The sequence below is a fragment of the Homo sapiens genome, chromosome 11 (genome assembly GCF_000001405.40).
Source record: "Homo sapiens chromosome 11, GRCh38.p14 Primary Assembly".
NCBI lineage: Eukaryota > Metazoa > Chordata > Mammalia > Primates > Hominidae > Homo > Homo sapiens.
This window is the reverse complement of record NC_000011.10, coordinates 9,450,620-9,477,434: the sequence shown is the minus strand read 5'-3', so window position 1 is coordinate 9,477,434 and position 26,815 is coordinate 9,450,620. Positions and strand designations below refer to the sequence as shown.

General features: G+C 44.9%; 1 protein-coding gene and 1 long non-coding RNA gene across 22 annotated transcripts in view, besides 5 other annotated features; one reads left to right on the top strand and one right to left on the bottom strand.

Annotated features, from left to right (window-relative positions):
- The window catches only part of ZNF143 (zinc finger protein 143), a 67,513-nt gene extending 51,090 nt beyond the window's left edge, over positions 1–16,423 (bottom strand). The window contains exons 1-6 of one of the 21 annotated variants that reach the window (XM_047427552.1): positions 15,495–16,423; positions 6,797–6,892; positions 6,015–6,133; positions 4,666–4,758; positions 3,411–3,494; positions 2,802–2,885 (exon numbers count right to left, since the gene is read on the bottom strand). In XM_047427552.1, coding sequence (XP_047283508.1) covers positions 2,802–2,885; positions 3,411–3,494; positions 4,666–4,758; positions 6,015–6,126 — 373 coding nt within the window. In that variant the 5' untranslated portion in view covers positions 6,127–6,133; positions 6,797–6,892; positions 15,495–16,423. Of the gene's footprint in view, positions 1–2,801; positions 2,886–3,410; positions 3,495–3,585; positions 3,659–4,665; positions 4,760–6,014; positions 6,134–6,796; positions 6,893–7,512; positions 7,706–13,564; positions 14,157–15,394 lie in introns of those variants that run through there. The other 20 variants (XM_047427553.1, XM_047427557.1, XM_011520349.3 and 17 more) reach the window with 20 other exon arrangements.
- Positions 15,830–16,039: a silencer, noted in NCBI's record as "silent region_3126". NCBI's record gives its function as "represses an Ori minimal core promoter by ATAC-STARR-seq in GM12878 lymphoblastoid cells {active_cell/tissue: GM12878}" and the evidence as "EXISTENCE:reporter gene assay evidence [ECO:0000049][PMID:35858748]".
- On the top strand, positions 16,737–17,879 carry ZNF143-AS1 (ZNF143 antisense RNA 1). Its single transcript, NR_036539.1, has one exon. It is a non-coding gene; the product is annotated as a ZNF143 antisense RNA 1 (long non-coding RNA).
- Positions 16,810–16,889: an enhancer, noted in NCBI's record as "active region_4408". NCBI's record gives its function as "activates an Ori minimal core promoter by ATAC-STARR-seq in GM12878 lymphoblastoid cells {active_cell/tissue: GM12878}" and the evidence as "EXISTENCE:reporter gene assay evidence [ECO:0000049][PMID:35858748]".
- Positions 16,950–17,049: an enhancer, noted in NCBI's record as "active region_4407". NCBI's record gives its function as "activates an Ori minimal core promoter by ATAC-STARR-seq in GM12878 lymphoblastoid cells {active_cell/tissue: GM12878}" and the evidence as "EXISTENCE:reporter gene assay evidence [ECO:0000049][PMID:35858748]".
- Positions 17,140–17,219: an enhancer, noted in NCBI's record as "active region_4406". NCBI's record gives its function as "activates an Ori minimal core promoter by ATAC-STARR-seq in GM12878 lymphoblastoid cells {active_cell/tissue: GM12878}" and the evidence as "EXISTENCE:reporter gene assay evidence [ECO:0000049][PMID:35858748]".
- Positions 17,419–18,054: an enhancer, noted in NCBI's record as "NANOG-H3K27ac-H3K4me1 hESC enhancer chr11:9480928-9481563 (GRCh37/hg19 assembly coordinates)". NCBI's record gives its function as "activates a minimal SCP1, AML or CMV promoter by ChIP-STARR-seq in naive H9 embryonic stem cells {active_cell/tissue: H9 hESC(naive)}" and the evidence as "EXISTENCE:reporter gene assay evidence [ECO:0000049][PMID:30033119]".

Below are 26,815 nucleotides of genomic sequence, written 5' to 3'. Positions count from 1 at the left end.
AAATACAAAAAAAATAGCTGGGCATGGTGGCGCGCACCTGTAGTCCCAGCTACTTGGGAGGCTGAAGCAGGAGAATCGCTTGAACCCAGGATGTGGAGGTTGCAGTGAGCCGAGATTGCACCACTGCACTCCAGCCTGGTGACAGAGCAAGACTCTGCTGAAAAGAAAAGAAAGAAAAGGAAGGAAGGGAAGGAAGGGAAGGAAGGGAAGGAAGGGAAGGAAGGGAAGGGAGGGAAAGGAGGGAAAGGAGGGAAGGGAGAGGAGGAAGGAAGGAAGGAAGGAAGGAAGGAAGGAAGGAAGGAAGGAAGGAAGGAAGGAAGGGGTGCAGACTTTACTTTTTTCCAACTGTAATTAAAGAAATTTATTTATAAATTTAAGTATTTTAAATTTTTTAAAGATTCCTCCCTTTGTTTGGGAGGCTGAGGAGGGCAGATCACAAGGTCAGGAGACCGAGACCATCCTGGCTAACACGGTGAAACCCCGCCTCTACTAAAAAAAATACAAAAAATTAGCCGGGCATGGTGGTGGGTGCCTGTAGTCCCAGCTACTCCGAAGGCTGAGGCAGGAGAATGGTGTGAACCCAGGAGGCGGAGCTTGCAGTGAGCCGAGATCGCACCACTGCACTCCAGACTGGGAGAGAGAGCGAGAGTCTGTCTCAAAAAAAAAAAAAAAAAAAAAAAAAAAAAAAGATTCCTCCCTTTGGCTTCACAACAAAACAGCCTTTCTAAAACGTGTTATGTCATTCTATAATAAAATGCTCTCTAGCTGGGTGCAGTGGCTCATGCCTGTAATCCCAGCACTTTGGGAGGCTGAAGTGGGCGGATCACCTGAGGTCAGGAGTTTGAGACCAGCCTGACCAACATGGTGAAACCCCATCTTTACTAAAACACAAAAATTAGCCGGGTGTAGTGGCGGGCACCTGTAATCTCAGCTACTTGGGAGGCTGAGGCAGGAGAATCGCTTGAAACCAGGAGGCGGAGGTTGCAGTGAGCCAAGATCGTGTCCCTGCACTCCAGCCTGGCAACAGAGCGAGACTGTCTCAAAATAATAAATTAATTAATTAATTAAAATAAAATATTCTCTAAAGTAGTAACAATAGGTAACATTTATTGAGCATTTAGTATGAGACAAGCACGGTTCTAAGTGCTTTACATGTTTGTGCATTCTGTCCTCACAACAACCCTACGTATGATATGGACACCTACTATAATCCTCATTTTACAGATGATGAAACTAAAGCACAGAAAAGTAATCTGCTTAATGTCACACAGCAAAAAAAAAGTAGCTTTGAATATACATAGTCTGGTTGCAGAGCTGTACTCATCATTCCTAGACATTCCACCTCAAACCCCTGAACTTCCCTTAAACAAATGTAATAAGCATTAACATTTTGCTGTATTTGCTTCAAATATTTTTGACATTGTATACTTAGTTTCAATTAAACATAGTAGGCAAAGGACCTTGCTTTAAAAATTTTATACACACACACACACACACACACACACACACACACACACACACACATATATATTTTTTTGAGACAGGGTCTCACTCTGTTGCCCAGGCTGGAGTGCAGTGGCACGATCTCAACTACACTGCAACCTCTACCTCCTGGGTTCAAGCGATTCTCCTGCCTCAGCCTCCCTAGTAGCCAGGATTGAAGGCATGCACTACCACAACTGGCTAATTTTTGTATTTTTTTGTATTTTTAGTAGAGACAGGGTTTTGCATGGCCAGGCTGGTCTCAAACCCCTGACCTCAGGTGATCCGCCTGCATCGGCCTCCCAAAGTGCTAGGATTACAGGCATGAGCCAACATGCCCAGGCAAAAAATTGCATTTAAGAGGAAGAAATAGGTTAGGCAAAGTGGTTCATGTCTGTGACCCCACTGCTTTGGGAGGTCGGAGCAGGAGGACTGCTTGAGGCCAGGAGTTCAGGACCAGCCTGAGCAACATAGCAAGACCCTATATTTAACAAAAAAAATTAATCAGAAAATAAAAATTTAAAAATCAGCTGGCTGTGGTGACACACACGTGTAGTCCTAGCTGCTCAGGAGGCTGAGGCAGGAAAGCCCCTTGAGCCCAGGAATTCAGGGCTATAGTGAGCTATGATTGTACCACTGCACTCTAGCCTAACAAAGATCTTATCTCTAAAATACAGAAATGAATAAAATATGAAGTTAACCATTTCAATGTTACATTGTGATTTTATTTCTGAATCATTTAAAAAAGGAGCCAAGGCTGCTTTTAAAATATGAAATTAAGGCTGGGTGCAGTAGCTAACGCCTATAATCCCAGCACTTTGGGAGGCTGGCTTGAGGCCAGGAGTTTGAGATTAGCCTGGCAACAGAGTAAGACCCTGTCTCTACAAAAAATGAAAAAACTAGCTGGGAGAGGCAGCATGCACCTGTAGTCCCAGCTATTCAGGAGGCTGAGGCAGGAGGATCCCTGAGCCCAGGAGTTTGAGGCTGCAGTGAGCTGTGCTTGTGCCACCACAATCCAGCCTGGCAACAGAGTGAGACCCTGTCTCTTAGAACAAAAGCCAACCAAAAAAACAAAATGTGGCCTCTACTTTAAGTCTTCCAGGGACCAGTCATTTGGTTTGCTGTTCCAGCTTGTCACTGGACAGCTCAAATTGTAGGAAAATTTTTCCTTAAATCATGCTTAAATCTGCCACCTTGTACTTTAATGAATAAATACAATTCTTTCCCATGACAACAATTCAGAAGCTAAACACAGGTCTTCTTTCCCCCACCACTCCCACTTCTCCCTTATTTTATTCATACTTTCAAAGTTATTTTACCTTTGGAGGTGTGGTGAATAAATGCTGTGGTACCATCTTCTAACTGTACTGCTTGACCATCCTCTAGACGCAAACTGTCCCCTGCTCAAGAACAATGCTTACATTTAGATCTCATGTTTTCTAGCACATTCCAATTAACTCACTTAGCAACAAGAGTCAATAAACCATTAACACATTATAACAATCTATACTTGCTTCATGAGTCTTTGAACATTTAAGTAAGTTCAGTAAAGCTTCCCTGCGTCAGTGTTTAAAGGTAAAAAGACATTAGAATATTGGTTTTAGAAATATACACCAGTATTAAAGAGAGTTGAAAGAAGGGGAAAAATGAAGAAAATGAGAGACATGTAAGATTCAGCTCAAAAAACAGAAACATTCACTCAGGACTGTTACTCATTTATCTCCACAGTGCAGTCCAGTAACTTCTTTTCCATTATCTTTACGAGAAAGTCTTGGTTAAGATCCACTCTGTGGCATCTATAATCTCCCTTTACAGAAGGAGGACTTGAGAACAAGACCAAGTTTAGGTAGTAAGAGGGAGCTGCAGGTAGCAAATACTAAAAGCTGAGAATTAAAATGGTTTCCCGTGCTGTTATCTTAAATACTTACTACTTTTAGGTATGGGTACATGTTGAACATAGGCCGCAGAACCATCTTCCAACTGAATGACCTGGCCATCTATGAGTTTTGCATCTATAACAAAAGATTCAAGACAATAAATTGGCACAAACAAAAATTTTAAACTTTATACAATTTCAAAATGATATCAACTATAAAAACATACACAACTTAAGCTCGTGTTCATCTTGATTCTTCCCTCAATGTTCTGAGGCAATTCAATAACACATCCAGTGATCCTACAGAAAGCAGAAAATCCTCCCTCAGCCATCCTTCCTCCCCTGCAATTTTCAATTAGATGAGGTCAAGAGGAAGAGTGGCTCATCACAGCAGGCTACATGAGTTGGACTGCTTTATACCTTTCAGAGTCACTTAGAATCAGTGACCATGACCAGTGGGGAGTTGAAGCTGGGAAGACAGACAGATTATGTCAGTGTATGTGAGATCATCTGTCATTCTCATCCCTGAGGGCTATAAGACCCCTGTTTATGTATGCATGTGCTCAGTAGGTTTCCATAGAAACAAAGAGTTTTTGAGGACTTGGCTGTTTCCTGGAGCAAAGCAAACACTAATTCAGAGACAATGTCAGATAAGCAAAACCAAATGTCTTTTTTTTTTTTTTTTGAGACAGAGTTTTGCTCTAGTTGCCCAGGCCGGAGTGCAATGGCGTGATCTCGGCTCACTGCAACCTCTGCCTCCCGGGTTCAAGCGACTCTCCTGCCTCAGCCTCCTGAGTAGCTGGGATTACAGGCATGCGCCACCATGCCCAGCTAATTTTGTATTTTTATTACAGAAAACGGTTTCTCCATGTTGGTCAGGCTGGTCTCGAACTCCCGACCTCAGGTGATCTGCCCGCCTCGGCCTTCCAAAGCGTTGGGATTACAGGCGTGAACCACCATGCCCGGCCCCAAATGTCTTTACTCTTACAGGTATTTGGTAAAAATACGAAATAATGACCCAAGGTAAAGAAGCAAGAAAGGTCTTACTAGAAAATAGTAAGACATACTCCCTGCTCTCCTCTCTCCCACTAATTTTGATATCCCAGGGTATCTTCCAAATATCTCAAAGGACTATTCCAAATTATAAAAAAAAAAAAAAAAAGAATTAAACTGAAATGACTTAAAATCATCATATGCAATACAGCATCTTTAGGAGACATAGGAAAGGTGGTATAGCTTCTAGGTGCTCCAACTCACAGGTTATAAATCACTGGTATTAACCAATCAGCCATATGTGAGGCACATACCTTTAGAATTGTGTTGTATGTAAGCAGTAGAACCATCTGCAAGTGTTACTGCTTGCAAGCTTACGCCTTCCATATTTTCTAAGTTGTCACCATCTATTACAAAAAAATCAATATTTTCTTTAGACAGCTAGCATATGGACATGCTGATTAATTTTTTTTTCAAATAAAGATCAGAAAAAAGGTAAACTGCTTAACTCAGACTCAAAATGAGATTTAGCGGCCGGGTGCAGTGGCTCACGCCTGTAATCACGGCACTTTGGGAGGCCAAGGCAAGTGGATCATGAGGTCAGAAGTTCGACACCAGCCTGGCCAATGAGGTGAAACCCCGTCTCTACTAAAAATATAAAAATTAGTCGGGCGCGGTGGCATGCACCTTGTAGTCCCAGCTACTTGGGAGGCTGAGGCAGAAGAATCGCTTGAACCCAGGAGGCAGAGGTTGCAGTGAGCCGAGATTGTGCCACTGCCCTCCAGCCTGGGCGACAGAGCCAGACTCCGTCTCAAAAAAAAGAAAAAAAGTGAGATTTAGCACTTACCAAAAACAGGCTGGGAACAATGGCTCATGCCTGTAATCCCAGCACTTTTGGAGGCTGAGGTGGGTGGATGGCTTGAGCCCAGGAGTTTGAGACCAGCCTGGGCAACATGGTGAAACCCTGTCTCTACTAAAAATAAAATAATTAGCTGGGCACGCTGGTGGGTGCCTGTAGTCTCAGCTACTTGGGAGGCTGAGGTGACAGGATGTCTTAAGCCAGAAGGCTGAGGCTACAGTGAGCCGTGATCATACCACTGCACTCCAGCCTGGGCGATAAAGCAAGACCTTGTCTCAAAAAAAAAAAACAAAAGAAAAGAAAAGAAAAAGAAAAAGAAAAAAAAAATTCCCTGCCCTCCTGTACCCACACCAAGATAAAAAATACACATAGAGGCTGGGCGCAATGGCTCATGCCTGTAATCCCAGCACTTTGGGAGGCCGAAGCAGGTTGATTACCTGAGGTCAGGAGTTTGAGACCAGCCTGGCCAACGTGGTGAAACCCCGTCTCTACTAAAAATACAAAATTAGCCGGACGTGGTGGCACATGCCTGTAATCCCAGCTACTCGGGAGGCTGAGGCAGGAGAATCACTTGGACTTGGGAGGCAGAGGTTGCAGTGAGCCGAGAGCAGACCATCGCACTCCAGCCTGGGCGACAAGAGTAAAACTCCGTCCCGTTTCAAAAAAAAAAACACCAAAACACCTCATAAAAAGACCTAGGTTTATATTGTTTTCTGCTAAATCAGGAACTAGGAAGTTGTAAATTTTTTTTCTTTTAAGATAAATGATATTTTCAAACGCATCCCTTCAAACACAACTGCTCACCTGCCACGGTGACTGCCTCTGTCAAGCACAGCGTAACATGTTGCGCCTCCATCCCTCCTCCAGGAAACTCTGTCATTCCCTGAGAATCTCGATTTATTTGGGCTAACAACATCTTCTACCTTGAAGAAAAATAAAGACACTTGGGAACAAAGAATGATACATGTGAAATGAAAGTTACAAAGAATATTTATGAACCACAAAAAGCTGCTGAGGATGTAATGGTGTTGGAAATAAGATGAAATTTCACTCAATATGTAGGGTAAGAGTATTAGCCCAAAGTCCAAGGCATGCTTCTTATAATTCAACAATTCAAACTGATGGGCACAATTTGTCAGTGCGCTTAGCAACTTAGAAGTACACTGACGAATTGTGCCCATCAGTTTCATATGATCTCTAGAATTCCCATAATTAGAGTCCTTTGGGTTTAGCATTGCTGAGGATTCCCACTTACAATGTGTCAGCATATTTTGTTGACTTAATCTTCAGAAATCTACCCCGAATCTGGCTACCTCTCACAACCTTCACCAGTACTTCCCTGATCTAAGCCACAACCAGTCTCTCACCTGCATTACTATAACAGCATCCTAACTTATTTCCCTGCTTCTCCATTAGCCTCCTACACTCTTCTTTTGACACAGCGGTCAGTGTCCTTTGAAGGGAAAAGTTAGCTCATGTCCCGCTTCTGCTCAAAACCTTCTGAGGACTTTCTCAGAGTAAAATCCCCAAATCCTTACACTGATCAATGAGGCCAATGATCTTGCCCCTCATTTCCTACTACTCACCATCTCATTCACTCCACTTCAGCCACATTGGCATTTTCCTCAAGCATATTGGATGTTCTGCTGCCTTAGAACGTGTTCATTTGAGTTTCCTTCTGCCTGAAACATTGTCCCCAGTATCTTCATTATTCATTCCCTACCCTCTTCAAGTCTTTGCTCAAATGGAATGAGAGCTTCCCTGTCCATCCCATTTCAAACTGCACCTCCCAACTGCTCAATCATGGTAAACCCCATCCTTCTTTTCCCCTCCATGTTTCTGCACAGTACTTATTATTTAACAAATTACATGTATTTATGTATTTAGTTTATCTATTTCCCCTTCCATGAGAATGGACAGAGACTTCTGTTTGTTTGCTCACTGCTGACTCTAGTGCCTAGAAAGTGCTTGGCCCATAGTAGAAGTACAATAGGTACAGAATAAATGGATGAATGGGCAACTCTTCTACCAATCACCAACACAACCTCCTTCTTCCCTTCTACCTCCAGGTCTCCTTACCTCTGTGGACCATGGCTTATCTCAAACAGTAGCTGGGATAATGTAGCTGCCTTGGGACAGGGAACTGAACCAGAAGATGTCTTGAGGACCTTTCCAGGTCCAAAGATCTGACTTAGCATCAATATTTAAAAGAGCAATACACAGATAGTAGTAATAATTTGTAATTCTTTTTACGTTTAGGATTGCTTGAAGAATTTTGTCTTGGAAATACTATAAACTGTACCTTCATTAGACCAAAAGTGGGAACTACTGTTCAGATACACAAAAAGGTATCAGTGCCATGATAACTGTCAGTCAAGGCTGGGTGCAGTGGCTCACACCTGGATTCACAGCACTCTGAAAGGCCAAAGCAGGTGGATCACCTGAGGTCAGGAGTTCGAGACCAGCCTGGTCAACATGGTGAAACCCTGTCTCTACTAAAAATATTAACAAATTAGCTGGATGTGGTGGCACGCACATTTAAAGAAAAAGTCAAGGGGTGACCTTTTAGGTACAAAAGGATCCATAATCTATAACTGTTCATAGAACAAGCTGAAACGTCATTTCCTTGGCACCTCCAAAAGCTGGCAGAGAAGACTCAAAGTAACACCAGTACCCTACTGTTAAGACCTGTGGGCTGCACGCGGTGGCTCATGCCTGTAATCCCAGCACTTTGGGAGGCCAGGGTGGGTGGATCACCTGAGGTCAGGAGTTCCATATCAGCCTGACCAACAAGGTGAAACCCCGTCACTACTAAAAATACAAAAATTAGCTGGGAGTGGTGGTGCACGCCTGTAATCCCAGCTACTTGGGAGGCTGAGGCAGGAAAACTGCCTGAACCCGGGAGGTGGAGGTTGCAGTGAGCCGAGATCACAACATTGCACTCCAAGCTGGGCAACAAGAGCGAAACTCCGTATGGGGGGGTGGTAAAAAAAAAAAAAAAAAAAAAAAGACCCCTGCTGAGAATAAAATTAGCATAGGCTAATTTTCAGTTACAAAAAGACAAATACTGCATTACTCTACTTTTTTTTTTTTGAGATGGCATCTCACTGTAGCCGAGGCTAGAGTGCAATGGCGTGATCTCAGATCACTGCAACCTCCACCTCCCAGGTTCAAGTGATTCTCATGCCTCAGCCTCCCGAGTAACTGGGATTACAGGTACGTGCCACCACACCTGGCTCATTTTTGTATTTTTAGTAGAGGTGGGGTTTCACCATGTTGGCCAGGCTGGTCTCGAACTTCTGACCTCAAGTGATCTGCATGCCTCAGCCTCCCAAAGTACTGGGATTACAGGTGTGAGCCACCGTGCCCAGAAAATATATGATATATGAAAGTCGAGTCTCACTCTGTCACCCAGGCTGGACTGCAGTGGCAGGACCCTGCAACCTCAAATTCTTGGGCTCATGTGATCCTCCTGCCTCAGCCTCCTGAGTAGCTGGGATTATAGGCATAAGCCACACCCAGCCTTGAGTTATATTTAAATATAGCCAGAGTGTAAGCATGTTCCATTAATTAAATATAATTCAGTGAAGTAAAAAGTAATTAGAACGTGCTAGCAAATGAGATAGAGTTCTCGCAGACTCCATATGATGCTAAGGGTTAAAGTATGGGCAAAGAGTTCATACTGCCAATTCTAATTGGGGCAGAATATCCTATTGGATAGGTGAAATGTTGAAACTTGAAGGCTTTGTGCAGTTCCAGGACTATTCAAAAACTGAATATATGAAACTGACTGGCAGGTAGGTAGAGCCTGATACCTTTGAAGTGACAACAGAGATAGGACCTACTAGGCTTAAAGCTAAAAATACCTGTCAGGAAAGAGCTGAGAGCAGAGACAAGAATTTAGAAATGAACATCTAGGTCTAGTCATTAGGTATCCCCATTTTGGTGATGGTTTGATCTCAACTGAACTATTGATGTGAAAAAGAACAAAAAACACCTCTCTTAAACTTCAATAAAGTAGCACTAATGGACATGGTTTAATAAGGGCACTCCATGCACAGAGCAGTTTGGTAAGCATGCCCTGGATTGCTTTCAGCAAAACTAGGGAATATGAGGAACAGATGCAGCAGAGAAAAGAAAGAGATTCTGACATATTCCAAACACCATTTCTGATGCTGCTCTGTTAAAAAGCATGTTATTTCAAAATTACAATGCCAGACTGTACGTTATTACCCCCAAGAGGAACACTGTATATGCTACTATTTTATCACCCAAATTGCTCATCGTGACATAGGTAAGGAAAGCAAAGCATCATTAGATAATTGTGAAAATTATAGAAGGAATTCCTGACAGACAACTTTTTTTTTTTTTTTTTTTTTGGAGATGGAGTCTCACTCTTGTCGCCCAGGCCAGAGTGCAGTGGCGCCATCTCAGCTCACTGTAACTTCCACCTCCCAAGTTCAAGCAGTTCTGTCTCAGCCTCCTGAGTAACTGGGATTACAGGCGCACACCACCATGCCCAGGTAATTTTTTGTATTTTTAGTAGAGAAGGGTTTTCACCATGCTGGCCAGGCGGGTCTTGAACTCCTGACCTCATGATCCACCCGCCTCAGCTTCCCAAAGTGCTGGGATTAAAGGCACGAGCCATTGCGCCAGCCAGCCATGATTTTCACCCTTTAAAATTTTTCTTGTTGGGCATGGTGGCTCACACCTATAATCCCAGCACTTTGAAAGGCTGAGGCGGGTGGATCACCTGAAGTCAGGAGTTTGAGAACAGCCCGGACAACATGACAAAACCCTGTCTCTACTAAAAATATAAGAAAATCAGCCGGGTATGGTGGCGGGTGCCTATAATCCCAGCTACTCCCAGCTGAGGCAGGAGAATCACTTGAACCCGGAGGGTGGAGGCAGCAGTGAGCCAAGATGGTGCCACTGCACTCCAGCCTGAGCTACAGAGTAAAACTCTATCTCAAAAAAAAAAAAAAAACACTTTCCTTTTTCATCCCCTCACTTAAGAGTATTACACATAGTTGGCCAGGGCGCAGTGGCTCACTCCTGTAATCCCAGCACTTTGGGAGGCCAAGGCGGGTGGATCACGAGGTCAGGAGATTGAGAGCATCCTGGCTAACACGGTGAAACCCCGTCTCTACTAAAAAATACAAAAAATTAACCAGGCGGTGGCATGCACCTGTAGTCCCAGCTACTCCGGAGGCTGAGGCAGGAGAATGGCGTGAACCCGGGAGGCAGAGCTTGCAGTGAGCCGAGATCGCGCCACTGCACTCCAGCCTGGGTGACACAGAGAGACTCTGTGTCAAAAAAACACACACACACACACAAAAAAAAACCAGAGTATTACTCTATTGTAATATTTAAAAGTATTACAATAATATCTTTACTGCTCTCTGCACCATATTCTCATCGTTTCAGTCTAAAAACAGTCAGCTATTTTATTGTGTTTTGTAGACCATTAAAATTTTCCTTGCAGGCTGGGCATGATGGCTCACACCTGTAACTGCAGCACTTGGGGAGGCCAAGGAGGGAAGACGGCTTGAGGCCAGGAGTTCAAGACCAGCCTGGGCAACACAGTGAAACCCTGTCTCTACGGAAAATAAAAAAAAGGAAAAAATTATGCCGGGAGTGGTGGCTCACATCTGTAATCCCAGCACTTTGGGAGGCTGAGGTGGGTGGATCACCTGAGGTCAGGAGTTCGAGACCACCCTGGCCAACATGGTGAAACCCAGTCACTACTAAAAATACAAAAATTAGCCAGGCGTGGTGGCAGACGCCTGTAATCCCAGCTACTAGGGAGGCTGAAGCAGGAGAATCGCTTGAATCCGGGAGACGTAGGTTGCAGTGAGCCGAGATCACATCATTGCACTCCAGCCTGGGCAACAAGAGCAAGACTCCATCTCAAAAAAAAAGAAAAGAAAAGAAAAAAATTAGGCTGCGCATGGTGGCTCACGTCTGTAATCCCAGCACTCTGGGAGGCTGAGATGGGTGGATCACCTAAGGTCAGGAGTTCAAGACCAGCCTGGCCAACATGGTGAAACCCTGTCTCTACTAAAAATACAAAAATTAGCCAGATGTGGTGGCAGGTGCCTGTAATCCCAGATACTCAGGATGCTGAGGAAGGAGAATCACTTGAGCCTGGGAGCTGGAGGTTGCAGTGAGCCGAGATCTAGCCACTGCACTCCAGCCTGGGTGAACTCCCTCTCAAAAAAAAAAAAAATTAGCCAGACATGGTAGCTTGGACCTGTAATACCAAGCCACTTGGGAGGCTGAGGAGAAGGGAGGATCACTTGGGCCTGGGAGGTAGAGGCTGCAGTGAGCTGTGATTGTGCCACTGTACTCCTGCCTGGGAAACAGAGAGAAATCCTCCCAAAAGCAAAAAAAGAAAACAAACAAACAAACAAAAAACAAAAAACTTTTCCTTGCATACAATATTGTAATATAAATTTAAAACTTATAATAATAAGTCCTTTGGGAGGCCAAGACGGGCAGATTATGAGGTCAGGTGAAACCCCGTCTCTACCAAAAATACAAAAAAAAAAAAAAAAATTAGCCAGGCGTGGTGGCGGGCGCCTATAGTCCCAGCTACTAGGGAGGCTGAGGCAGGAGAATGGTGTGAACCTGGGAGGCAGAGCTTGCAGAGAGCCGAGATCACGCCACTGCACTCCAGCCTGGGCGACAGAGTGAGACTCCATTTCAGAAAAAATAAATAAATAAATAAATAAAAGTACCAGCCAGGCACGGTGGCTTGCACCTGTAATCCCAGCACTCTGGGAGCCAAGGCAGGCGGATCACAAGGTCAGGAGTTCAAGACCAGCCTGGCCAACATGGTGAAACCCCGTCTCTACTAAAAATAAAAAAATTAGCTGGGCATGGTGGCGTGCTTCTGTAATCCCAGCTACTTGGGAGGCTGAGGCAGGGGAATCACTTGAACCCGGGAGGCGGAGGTTGCAGTGAGCTGAGATCGCACCACTGCACTCCAGCCTGGGTGACAGAGTAAGACTCCGTCTCAAAACAAATAAAATAAATAAAAAAAATAGTAAGTCCCAATAGCTTAACAAATCAAACATTTTCAGTTTTCCTGGTTTTATTCTCTAGCCCTTGCTATCCACATACATACAAAATTTTTACAGCATTGTAATTATCATATACATAACATTTTGTATTCAGCTTTTTTTATTCCTATAAATTTTCCTAAGTTGTCAAAAATTCTTCACAATGATCACTTTTAATTCACATTTAACAAATTAATTACCCTTATAGGCCATTTAGCATTATTATTATTTTTTTTTTGAGACAGAGTCTCCCTCTGTCGCCCAGGCTGGAATACAGTGACGCGATCTCGTCTCACTGCAACCTCTGCCTCCTGGGTTCAAGCAATTCCCCTGCCTCAGCCTCCTGAGTAGCTGGGATTACAGGTGCCCGCCACCATGCCCAGCTAATTTTTTGTATTTTTTTAGTAGAGACGGGATTTCACCATGTTGGTCGGGCTCATCTTGAACTCCTGACCTCGTGATCCACCCACCTCGGCCTCCCAAAGTGCTGGGATTACAGGCGTGAGCATTATTCTTATTATGTAATTAACACACACCATTGATTGATTGATTGATTGATTGAGACAGGGTCTTGTTCTGTCCCCCAGGCTGGAGTGCAGTGGTGCAATCTCAGCTCACTGCAACCTCCACCTCCCAGGTTCAAGAGATTCTCCTGCCTCAGCCTCCCGAGTAGCTGGGATTAAAGGCATGGGCCACCCCACCTGGCTAATTTTTGTATTTTTAGTAGAGACAGGGTTTCACCATGTTGGCCAGGCTGGTCTCAAATTCCTGACCTCAGGAGATCCACCTGCCTCAGCCTCCCAAAGTACTGGGATTATAGGCGTGAGCCACCACGCCTGGCCTACAAACGTTTTTCTAAAAATTAGCTGGGCATTGTGGCGTGCACCTGTAGTCCTAGCTACTCTGGAGTCTGAGGTGGGAGGATCACTTGTGCCAGGGAGGTTGAGGCTGCAGTGAGCTGAGATCATGCCACTGCACTCCAGTCTGGGTGAGAGTGAGACCCTGTCTCTTAAAAAAAATGGATTTTTAATATCTATACACAAATACACACACACACACACACACACACACACAAACACACACACACGACATCCCTAAATGAAACATGTAGGCATTTAAAAGAATGAGATCTATCTATCTGAAACAGTGAGAAACATGTCCAAGATATATGGTAAGTGGGAAAAAGCAAGTTGCAGAAAAGTAGATACCATATGATTGCATTCATTTATTTAAAAATGTATATAGTTATCTGTATATGCTTGTATGAACATTTAAAAATTCAGTGCTTACCTTCCAGAAATGGAACTATGCTATGAGGGTGGAGTGGTTTTTTATTTTAAAAATAAAACCATGTAGTAGAGGCACAGTTCAATGCAGCCATGCCACGTTTCTGTGAAGAACACAACCAGTCCTTACTTCACAGCAACATTCCAACACACAGCAAAGGACTATGGACATTTTGCAAACCATGTATCTGATAAGGGACTTCTATCTAGAACATATAAAGTACTCTCACAACCAAATCATAATAAGACGAATAATCCAACTTTAAAATGGGTAAAGAATTCAAACAGACATTTCTCCAATGATTATAAATGATCGTTAGGCACAGAAAAAATGCTCAACATTATTAACCATCAGAGACAGGCAAACCAAACCTACAAGAGACACCATTTCATCCACACTAGAAAAACTATAATCAAAAAGACTGATGATAACAAGTGTTGGTAAGGATATGGAGAAACTGGAACCTTTACACATTGCTGGTAGGAATGTAAACGTGGTGCAGCCACACTGAAAAAGTTTTAGAGTACCTCAAAAGGTTGAACATAGTTACTATATGACTCAGCAATTCTATTCCTAGGTATTCTACTCCCAAGAGAAATGAAAACCTATGTCCACACAAAAACTTTCGTACAAATGTTCATAGCATTATGTGTAATAGCCAAAGGGTGGAAACAACCCAAATGTCCATCAACAGATGAATGGATAAGTAAAATGTACTATGTTCATACAATGAAATATCATTTGGCAATAAAAATAAAGTATTGACACATGTTATAACATAAATGACCCTGGACAAGGCTACATACTTTGTGATTCCATTTATGTGAAATATCTAGAATAGCAAACATGCAAACTAGTAGTGGGGTGGAGGGGACAACTGAGAGGAAATGGGGAGTAATTGCTAACGGGTATAGTTTCTTTTGGGGGTGATATGTTGCTAAATTGATTGTAGTGATGGCTGCGCAACTCTGAATATATTAAAATTCAACTTTTTTTTTGAGACGGAGTTTCGCTCTTGTTGCCCAGACTGGAGTGCAATGGTGCAATCTCGGCTCACTGCAACCTCCGCCTCCTGGGTTCAAGCGATTCTCCTGCCTCAGCTTCCAGAGTAACTGGGATTACAGGCGCCTGCCACCACACCCGGCTAATTTTTGTATTTTTCGCAGAGACGGGGGTTTCACCACGTTGACCAGACTGGTCTCGAACTCCTGACCTCAGGTGATCCGCTGGCCTCGGCCTCCCAAAGTGCTGAGATTACAGGTGTGAGCCACCACACCCAGGCTAAAATTCAACTAATTATCACTTTTTTTTTTTTCGAGACCGGTCTCTGTCACCCAGACGGGAGTACAGTGGCACAATCACGGCTCACTGCAGCCTGGAACTCCTGGGCTCAAGTGATCCTCTCACCTCTGCCTCCAAGTACCTGGGACTACAGGCACACGCTGATTTCACTTAAAAAAAATTTTTTTTGTAGAAACATGGGAGGGCCGTCTCCCTATGCTGCCCAGGCCTAATTACACATTTTAAATGGGTGAACTGTAAGGTATGTGAATTACATCACTAAAGCTATTTTAAAAAATAAAGGCGGGCATCTGTAAAGCAAAAAAAAAAAAGGCACTCAAGTATCTGTAGACAGCTGACTGCTCATAGAATTTCCAAATAGTGGACACTGACAATTAAAAAAAAAAAATTTCCAAACAGTCAAAATACGCCAGGACAAAATTAGCTATGCATCTTATGGGTGTTTTTGAGTGATCTCCTTATCACGTTATTTTCTTACTAAACGTAAACTTGATCTACATACTCAGCAAGAAAAAACATTAAATACTGCACCGTTTTTTGTCAACTACAGGAAAACACAAGTATCTTCTGGTAAGATTCAGGACAAAGCCGACCACAATCTCGAACCTACAATTTCTCCCCACATTCTCACTTGATTATATCAGCTGATTTAGACACTTCCAAAGCAAAGGCTGACGCTGATTTTAAACAAATAATGGGCTGGCAATGGTATTCTTCTTTCCTCTTTTTAACTTCGTTATTATGTGGAAAAAACAAATGTCCAAAGCAAAAGGGGAAGGAATAAAAACTAGTTCGCGTTCCACAATAATACGTTTCAAAGAGACTTATAAGAATTTGTTCACTCTTTTGGCCAAAACTGGAGAAAAGGGAGGATAAAATTGTAAATTTCTAATATCCGATGTTAGACCTCAGTAACCTTTTTTTTTTTTTAATAGAAGAAAGGGTGAGGGGGAAACAATCTGCCCACGATACGCATGGGAAGCAAGCGCTAGGTGAGACCGGCAGGTCCTGGGAGGGCCTGGGCCAGCCCTGTCCCCGGCGCCCCCGCTGCGGCCTGGTGTGGCCCGTGGGCCCGGCGTCCCAGGCGGCGGAACTCTGCCTCGGCGGCGCCTGGGGACTCGCTCTGCGCGGAGGTCAGGCCGAGAAACGCGGCCAAGGCTCCCGAGGGCTCCACCCTCCCCTCTTTCACTCCCTCCCCTTGGCGGTCCCCTGAGGGAAACAGGCGGGGCGCATCGCTCAGAGACAAGCTGGGGGGAGTTGAGTCCTCAACGAAAAAAGCTCCGCCGCCTAGAGTGGCGGCCGCGGGTTATTAATAAACTCCGCTTCTGCCCAGACGCCGCTACCGCGGCCGGCCCATAAAATCGGCAAGGCCTGCGGCGGAGGCTGAGCAGCGGGAGCCGGAGCCCGGGCCCAAGCGGGCCCGCGCCGCCGCGCTGAGGGCGGCGGCCAGGCGGAGAATAATGCACACTGGGTAAAAACACATTTATATACGAACCTCCGAGAAAATTTTCCAACAATTCCTTCGTCCGACCACCATGCACCAGGACAGGAAACAGCCGTCCGGCCCCCAGGCCCCGCAACCCGCATAGTGTGTCTGAGGCCCGCCCCCAGCTTCCATTGGGCTGTCATTACATCACTCACAGGACGCTTCCGGTTTTCCATTGGCCCACGTTTGGTCGACGCGAAAGAAAACCGCCCTAGCCGCGCCCACTCAACTGACGTCAGCCAAGCCTGACTTTACAGCCCGCCCCTGAGTGGCTCGCGCAAAGTGCAGAATCAAAGCTCCTGTGTCTGACTGGTTGACATAACCGCTTATCCCAGACGGACCCCGCCTCACTGACTAGCGAGTCATACCGATTCTGGGGCCCCAGCGGGAGGCGCCATTTTGTAGCGAGGGAGGGAGGCTGGTCCTTGTGATTACCCGGGAGGGAGCCGGGGTGACGAGCGCCATTTTCCCCACAGGGGCGAGGAGGCGGCTTTGGTTCTCCCGGTGGGCTTGCCGGAGTGCGTTCTGCAGACCAGAAGGGCTTTGTCTGGCGATTGCTGAATGCTCAATAGCAGCCTGCTGGGAGGGAAGTCGAAGGGAGAAATAGGACAGAAAGAGAGACCTGACCTCTCCCTGGAGGCTCTCAGTGTCGGCCGAGGCCCTTGGTCTTGCTCTAGGGCTCTGCATTCCCGAGAGCTGCTGTATGCCGGGGATTGGCTTCCAAGCCTGCCTGAGCTTCTCCAGTCTCCCGGGCATCGCCATGCGGTGGGAGGGTGAGCCTTCCTCTCCTGCTGAAATTCCGGCGGCTTGGCAACCGGCCGGGGGGTCTTGGATTCCTCGGGGAGACACCACTGATGCTTTGTGGTTTCACGTAATTTGGATTTAAAAGTTGAAGGCGTCAGAAATGGTTGTCGCTACGGTCTTTTGTATGTTCTTGTGTTGCGAACTAATAAAGGAAAGTCAAAAGGGTGGGAGAAGCATTCAGTCTGGTTCCCTAAAGTTACTAAGAATGGATACAAATTAGTTGTGGCCGTTGCGGTTAATGCTTCTTGTAGCTCTTAACCCAGCCCTTTCTAAACCTTTGGATATACTTACTAGTCAGTTCCGAAGGTACTCAGTACAAATTTGCGTTGGCGCACCAGGCCGACTAAAGATGAGGTGGGTGTATTAGACTCAAAATTTCTTAAGTCGGCCAGGGGGTAGAATTGAGCTACCAAGAGAATGAGAGACTACCCTGTTGTAACAGATTTGGATCGCGCTTAGAAAAACAGGGAGAAAGCTGGATGATGTTCAACTTAATGTCTTGCATTTCAGACGATTATCGAATGGACGGGGATAAATAAAAACGATGTTACAGATAGCCCTCTAAGTGTGGATAGTAAATATTTTGATTTACAATTAAGCCTACCTTGAGGTGCAGGCCCTAACCAACGGATAGTTGAGTAATAGGGGCCTAGACGCCAATGGAAAGAAAATGGGACTTTAAGCTTTGTTTGAACATATATTCTGTTAATAAAGAAGTTTAAATCAGTTCGGATTACTGTTTTTTGTTTGTTTGTTTGTTTTTTGAGACGGAGTCTCGCCCTGTAGCCCAGACTGCAATGCAGTGGCACGATCTCAGCTCACTGCAACCTCCGCCTCCCAGGTTCAAGCGATTTCTCCTGCCTCAACCTCCTGAGTAGCTGGGACTACAGGCGCCCACCATCACGCCCGGCTAATTTTTCTGTTTTTAGTAGAGACGGGGTTTCACCATGTTGGCCAGGCTGGTCTGAAACTCCTGACCGCGTAATCCGCCCACCTCAGCCTACCAAAGTACTGGGATTACAGGCGTGAGCCACCGCGCCCGGCCCGGATTACTTTTTAAGCCCTTAAAATAAAAGTGTCACATATAAAAAATGGATTAGGTGGCCGGGCGCGGAGGCTCACGCCTGTAATCCCAGCACTTTGGGAGGCCAAGGCGGGCAGATCATGAGGTCAGGAGATCGAGACCATCCTGGCTAACGCGGTGAAACCCCGTCTCTACTAAAAATACAAAAAATTTAGCAGGCGTGGTGGCGGGCGCCTGTAGTCCCAGCTACTCGGGAGAATGAGGCAGGAAAATGGCGTGAACCCGGGAGGCGGAGCTTGCAGTGAGCTGAGATTGCGCCACTGCACTCCAGGCTGGGCAACAGAGCAAGATTCCGTCTCAAAAAAAAAAAAAAAAAAAAAAAAAAAAGGATTAGGTTACTTTTAACTGGAGGATTTTGCTCAGTTAAAATCAGTCTCCTACCCAATGGATACATTCTCTGTTACAAAGAAGTAGCCCAGCTGAAAAACAAATGGTTTTAATTTATAATTTCTGTTCCCTCCACATGTATCTGTGTTTTGTAATTGGAGGTGTTTTTTAACCCATCAGAATATTTTTATGCAGTTCCACTAAGTCCCATGCCTGTAGGCTACTCATTAAAACACTATAATACAGAATCTCAAGAATTTTTAAATCGCCCTCTTATTGTAGATAACAATTACAGGACATCTTTGTATCCCCAGAAGCTACTGAGTTGTTCTAAAAATTGAATGGCGATGATGGTGGCGGTGGATAGGATGCTATAATTGTAACTGGATTCAGAGAGAAACCTAATTCTGATTTGTCACAGGTAATGGAACGTTGTGTTAACAGTATTTACCAGTGACTATAGAACAGAGTTCAAATGTACATATATTCAGAGCCATTCATAAGCTTAAAATGTTATCCCATTCATCTCCCTTCCCTTATATCGTGTTATATCCGGTCAAATTAATGGCTTGAAAATGTTTCCCTGTCAATCAGTACTAGTCCAGGCTCTTAAATGCAGAAATTAAATAATTTCCCCAACTTCCTAAACAAGAGGTAACTTATTTGTAGCCCCCTTCAAAAACTGTTAAGATAATATTTTCTAAAACACTTCTTTCAGTAACTTAAAACTTACTGGAGAATTGGTTGGTTTTGGCATATTTATACCATGCTATAAGCATTAAAGTAGTATATATGTATACTATATATATATAGAAATTATATATGATATATATGTATACTATATATATAGAAATTATATATGATATATATAGAAAAAAGATAAACGATGAGTTAAGCTTAAAAGCAATTATTTCAGGCCGGGCGCGGTGGCTCACACCTGCAATCCTAGCACTTTGGGAAGCCGAGGCAGGCGGATCACGAGGTCAGGAGTTCGAGCCATGGTGAAACCCCGTCTCTACTAAAAATACAAAAATTAGCCCGGCGTGGTGGTGGGCGCCTGTAATCCCAGCTACTCAGCAGGCTGAGGCAGGAGAATGGCTTGAACCCCGGAGGCGGAGGTTGCAGTGAGCCAGGGTCACACCACTCCACTCCAGCCTGGGTGACAGAGTGAGAATCCATCTAAAAAAAAAAAAAGGCCGGGTGCGGTGGTTCACACCTGTAATCCCAGCACTTTGGGAGGCCGAGGAGGGTGGACCACCTGAAGTCAGGAGTTCGAGACCAACCAGGCCAACATGGCGAAATCGCATCTCTACTAAAAGTACAAAAATTAGGCTGGGCACGGTGGCTCACACTTGTAATCCCACCACTTTGGGAGGACGAGGCGGGCGGATCACAAGGTCAGGAGATCAAGACTATCCTGGCTAACACGGTGAAAACCCGTCTCTACTAAAAATACAAAAAATTGGCCGGGCACAGTGGCTCACGCCTGTAATCCCAGCACTTTGGGAGGCGGAAGTGGGCAGATCGCCTGAGGTCGGGAGTTTGAGACCAGCCTAGCCAGCATGGTGAAACGCCGTCTCTACTAAAAATGCAAAAATTAGCCGGGCATGGTGGCAGGTGCCTGTAATCCCAGCTACTTGGGAAGCTGAGGCAGGAGAATCGCTTGAACCCGGGAGGCGGAGGTTGCAGTGAGCCGAGATCGTGCCGTTGCACTCCAGCCTGGGCAACAGAGCAAGACTTTGTCCCAAAAAAGCAAACAAAAAGATAAATAAATAATAAAAATACAAAAAATTATCTGGGCGTGGTGGCATGCGCCTACAGTCCCAGCTACTCAGGAGGCTGAGGCAGGAGAATCCCTTGAACCTGGAAGGCAGAGGTTGCAGTGAGCCGAGATCGCACCACTGCACTCCCGCCTGGGTGACAGAGCGAGCCTCCATCTCAAAAAAGCAAAAAACAAAAATTAGCCGGCCATAGTGGTGGGTGCCTGTAATCCCAACTGCTCGGGAGGCTGAGTCAGGATAATAGCTTGATCCTGCGGGGCGGAGGTTGCCATGAGCCAAAATCGTGCCACTTCACTCCAGGTTGGGCGCAAGAGCGAGACTCTGTCTCAAAAAAAAAAAAAAAGTTTCATGCCGGGCGCCGTGGCCCACGCCTGTAATCCCAGCACTTTGGGAGGCAGAGGCGGGCGGATCACGAGGTCAAGAGATCCAGACCATCCTGGCTAACGCGGTGAAACCCCGTCTTTACTAAAAATTAAAAAAAAAAGTTAGCCGGGCGTGGTGGCGGGCGCCTATACTCCCAGCTACCCGGGAGGCTGAGGCAGGAGAATGACGTGAACCCGGGAGGAGCTTGCAGTGAGCCAAGATCGCGCCACTGCACTCCAGCCTGGGCGACAGAGGGAGACTCTGTCTCAAAAATAAATAAATAAATAAATAAATAAATAAATAAATAAATAAATAAATAAAATAAAAAAGAAACCTGTGAAAATAATTTTTTGAGATATAATTTGTTTATCATAAAATTCACCATTTTATACACTTGAGTATATATCTATATATATATACTCAGGTTGTGCAGACATCACCACTATCTAATCCAAAATATTTTATCACCCCTGTAAGAAACCCCATACTCATTAGCAGTCACTTCCATTCCTTCTTTCCCCCAGCTTCTGGCAACCATGACTAACTTTCTGCCCTTTTGGACTTATCTATTCTGGACATTACATTTTAATGGAATCTTTTTTGTCTGACTTCATTATAGCACAATGTTTTCAAGCCTCATCCAGGTTGTAGGGTGTTAACAGTACTTAATTCCCTTTTATTGCCAAATATTTGGTTGTGTATATACCCGATTTGTTTATCGATTTATAGATATTTGGGTTGTTTCCACCTTTTGGCTATTATCAATAATACTACTATGAACATTTGTGTGTAAGTATTTTTTGCCGACCTTGTGTTTCATTTCTTTTGGTATATATACCTAGGAGTGGAATTGCTGGGTCATGTCTACGTAAAACAATATTTTCAACCTTTTGAGAAACTGCCAAACTTCCACAACAAATAAGCATTTTACATCCCATCAGCAATGTATGAGGGTTTCAATTTTTTTTTTTTTTTTTTTAGACGGAGTCTTGCTCTGTTGCCCAGGCTGAGTGCAGTGGCACGATCTCGGCTCACTGCAAGCTCCGCCTCCCGGGTTCACACCATTTTCCTGCCTCAGCCTCCCGAGTACCTGGGACTACAGGCGCCCACCACCACACCCGGCTAATTTTTTGTATTTTTAGTAGAGACGGTTTCACTGTGTTAGCCAGGATGGTCTTGATCTCCTGACCTCGTGATCTGCCCACCTCGGCCTCCCAAAGTGCTGGGATTACAGGCGAATTTCTCCATATTCTTACCAATACTTCCAGTTGTCCATCTTTTTTGAGATGGAGTCTCACGCTGTCACCCAGGCTGAAGTGGGGTGGCGTGATCTCGGCTCCTCCACTTCCGCACTTGAAGTGATTCACCTGCCTCAGCCTCCCGAGTAGCTGGGATTACAGGCTTGTACCACCATGCTCAGCTAATTTTTTTGTATTTTTAGTAGAGACAGGTTTCACTACGTTGGCCAGGGTGGTCTCAAACTGTTGACCTCAAGTGATCCACCTGCCTGGGCCTGGGAAAGTGCTGGGATAACAGGCGTGAGCCACTATGCCCAGCCCATCTTTTCTTTATTATAGTCATACTAGTAGGTGTGAAGTGGCATCTCATTGTTTCTGATTTGCAGTTCCCTAATGACTGATGATGTCGATCATCTTTTTCTGTGATACTGGCCATTTGTATATATTCATCAGATAAATGTCTACTGATTCCTTGCCCATTTTTTAACTGAGTTGTCTCTGTTGCATTGCAAAAGTTGGTCACATATTCTGGATATTAGCCTGTTATATACTTTGCGAATATTTTCTCCCTTTCTCTGGCTTGTCTTCACTTTCTTGAAAGTGCCTTTTGGGCACAGTGGCTCATGCCTGTAATCCCAGCACTTTGGGAGGCTGAGGCAGGTGGATCACCTGAGGTCAGGAGATTGAGACCAGCCAGGTCAACATGGTGAAACCCCGTCTTTATTAAAAATACAAAAAATTGGCCGGGCTAGTGGCTCACACCTGTAATCCCAGCACTTTGGGAGGCCGAGGTGGGGAGATCATCTGAAGTCAGGAGTTGGAGACCAGCCTGGTCAACATGGAAAAACCCTGTCTCTACTAAAAATGTAAAAATTAGCCGGGCATAATGGTGGGCGCCTGTAATCCCAGCTACTTGGGAGGCTGCAGCAGGAGAATCACTTGAACCTGGGAGGCGGAGGTTGCAGTGAGCCGAGACTGCGCCATTGCGTTCCAGCCTGGGCGACAGAGTGAAACACCGTCTAAAAAAAAAATACAAAAAGTTAACTGGGCATGGTTGTATGTGCCTGTAGTTCCAGCTACTTGGGAGGCTGAGGCAACAGAATTGCTTGAACCCAGGAGGCGAAGGCTGCAGTGAGCCGAGATTGCGCCACTGCATTTTAGCCTGGGCAGCAGAGTGAAACTCTGTCTCAGAAAAAAAAAAAAAAAAAGCCAGGCGCAGTGGCTCACACTTGTAATCCCAGCACTGTGGGAGGCCCAGGTGGGTGGATCATGAGGTCAGGAGATTGAGACCATCCTGGCCAACGTGGTGAAACCCCGTCGCTACTAAAAATACAAAAATTAAGGCTGGGCACAGTGGCTCACACCTTTAATCCCAGCACTTTGGGAGGCCGAGGTGGGAGGATCACCTGAGGTCGGGAGTTCAAGACCACCCTGACCAACATGGAGAAACCCTGTCTCTACTAAAATTACAAAATTAGCCAGGTGTGGTGGCACATGCCTGTAATCCCAGCTACTCGGGAGGCTAAGGTGGGAGAATCGTTTGAACCCGGGACGTGGAGGTTGCAGTGAGCTGAGATCGCGCCATTGCATTCCAGCCTGGGCAACAAGAGTAAAACTCTGTCTCAAAAAAAAAAAAAAAAAAAAAATTGGCCGGGCATAGTGGTGGGCGCCTGTAGTTCCAGCTACTCTGGAGGCTGAGGCAGGAGAATTGCTTGAACTCAGGAGGTAGAGGTTGCAGTGAGCCACGATCGCACCACTGCACTCCAGGCTGGTGACAGAGCGAGACGAGACTCTGTCTAAAAAAAAAAGAAAGTGTCCTTGAAGCACAAAATTTGTGATGAAGTCCAATTTGATTTTTTCTTTCTTTGCTTGTGTTTTGATGTTGTATTAAGAAACCAGTCCCTCATCCAAAGTCGTGAAGATTTATGCCTATGTTTTTTTGTTTTGAGACAAGCGTCTCTCTCTGTCACCCAGGCTGGAGTGCAGTAGCATGATCACAGCTCACTGCAGCCTCAATTTCCCTGGGCTCAGGTGATCCTCACATCTCAGCCTCCTGAGTAGCTGGGATTACAGTTGTGTGCCACCATGCCTTGCTAATTTTTGTGTTGTTTTGTAGAGACAGGGTTTTGCCTTGTTTCCCAGGCTGGCCACATACTCCTTGGCTTAAGGGATCCACCCACCTTTGAAAGTGCTAGGCATGAGCCACCATGCCCAGCCCTACTCCTGTTTTTTTCCTAATTTTATAGTTCGAGGTCTTACATTTAGACCTTTAATCTACTTTAGTTAATTTTTATGTATGATGTGAAGTAAGAGACCACCTTCATGTTTTGGATGTAGATATCTGGCTGTCTCAGAGCCATTTGTTGAAGATTCTTTCTCATATTGAGTGATCTTGGCACCCTTGTTGGAAATCAGTTGACCATAAATGTAAGGGTTTATTTTTGGACTATCGATTTTATTCCATTGGTCTATCTATGCCTTTTTATTTTTTATTTATTTATTTATTTTTTGAGACAGCGTCTCGCTTTGTCGCCCAGGCTGGAGTGCAATGGCATGATCTTGGCTCACTGCAATCTCGGCCCCCTGGGTATGAGCAATTCTCCTCCCTCAGCCTCCTGAGTAGCTGGGATTACAGGTGTGCACCACTGCGCCCAGCTAATTTTTGTATTTTTAGTAGAGACGGGGTTTCATCATGTTAGCCAGTGTTGCGGGAAGTCAGGGACCCTGAATGGAGAGACCGGCTGGATCCATGGCAGAAAAACATAAATTGTGAAGATTTCATGGACACTTATCAGTTCCCAAAATGAATACTTTTATAATTTCTTACGCCTGTCTTTACTGCAGTCTCTGAACATAAATTGTGAAGATTTCATGGACATTTATCACTTCCCTAATAATACTCTTATAATTTCTTATGCCTGTCTTTACTTTAATCTCTTAATCCTGTTATCTTCATAAGCTGAGAATGTACATCACCTCAGGACCACTATTGTACAAACTGATTGTAAAACGTGTGTTTGAACAATATGAAATCAGTGCACCTTGAAAAAGAACAGAATAACAGCGATTTTCAGGGAACAAGGGAATATAACCATAAGGTCTGACTGCCTGCGGGATTGGGCAGAATAGAGCCATATTTTTCTTCTTGCAGAGAGCCTATAAATGGACATGCAAGTAAGAGAGAGATTGCTGAATTCTTTTCCCAGCAAGGAATACCCTGGGAAACGAGCGCATTCCTGGGGGGAGGTCTATAAAAGGTCGCTTTGGGAGTGTCTGTCTTATGTGGTTGAGATAAGGACTGAAATACGCCCTGGTCTCCTGCAGTACCCTCAGGCTTACTAGGATTGGGAAATTCCAGCCTGGTAAATTTTGGTCAGACCAGTTCTCTGCTCTCGATCCCTGTTTTCTGTTAAGATGTTTATCAAGACAGTATGTGCACAGCGGGACATAGACCCTCATCAGTAATTCTAATTTTGCCTTTACCTTGTGATCTTTATTGCCCTTTGAAACATGTGACCTTTGTGACCTACTCCCTGTTCGTACACCCACTCCCCTTTTCAAGTCCCTAATAAAAACTTGCTGGTTTTGCAGCTCAGGGGACATCATGGGCCTACTGATATTTGATGTCACTCCTGGAGGCCCAGCTGTAAAATTCCTCTCTTTATACTCTTTCTATTTCTCAGACCGGTTGACACTTAGGGAAAATAGAAAGAATGTACGTTGAAATATTGGGGACTGGTTCCCCCAATAATCCAGGCTGGTCTCAAACTCCTGATCTCAGTTGAGCCACCTGCCTCAGCCTCCCAGAGTGCTGGGATTACAGGTGTGAGCCACCGTGCCCAGCCCCATTGGTCTATTCTTACACCAGTACAATGCTATTGTGCTACTAAATCATGTTCTTTTTGAAGATTGTTTTGGCTATGCTAGGTCCCATGTATTTTCATATAAATTTTAAGATAAGTATGTCAGTTCCTGCAAAGATAACTGGGATTACATAGGAACTACACCTAATCTATAGATACATTTGGGGAATTTTGCCATCCTCACAATATTGTCTTCCAGTTCATGAATGTGGGGTGTCTTTCATCTTTTCTTTCAACAGCATTCTGTAGTTTTTTGTGTCCAAGTTTTGTACTTACTTGCTCCTGTTTTTTAATGCTGTTGTAAATGGAATTTTCTTTTCCTTTTTTTTTTAAAGAGATGACATCTCGCTCTGTTGCCCAGGCTGGAGTGCAGTGGCGTGATCTTGGCTCATTGCAACCTCCGCCTTCTGGGTTCAAGTGATTCTTCAGCCTCCCGAGTAGCTGGGACTACAGGCGTGTGCCACCAAGCCTGGCTAGTTTTTTTTGTATTTTTTAGTAGAGACAGGGTTTCACCATTTAGCCAGGATGGTCTCCATCTCCTGACCTCGTGATCTGCCCACCTCAGCCTCCCAAAGTGCTGGGATTACAGGCATGAACCACTGCGCCTGGCTGGAATTTTCTTAATTTCATTTTCAGTTCATTTATTACTCTTGTATAGAAATACCACCAATTTTTTTTTTTTTTTGAGATGGAGTTTCGCTCTTTTGCCCAGGCTGGAGGGCACTGGCATGATCTTGGCTCACTGTTAACTCCTGCCCCCCGGGTTCAAGCAATTCTCCTGCCTCAGCCTCCTAAGTAGCTGGGATTATAGTGCCCACCATGCCTGGCTAATTTTTTGTATTTTTAGTAGAGATGCGGTTTCGCCATGTTGGCCAGGCTGGTCTCGAACTCCTAACCTCAGGTAATCCACCTGCCTTGGCCTCCAAAAGTGTTGGGATTACAGGCGTGAGCCACCACACCTGGCCAATACCACCAATTTTTATATATTGATCTTGTGTCCTGCAAC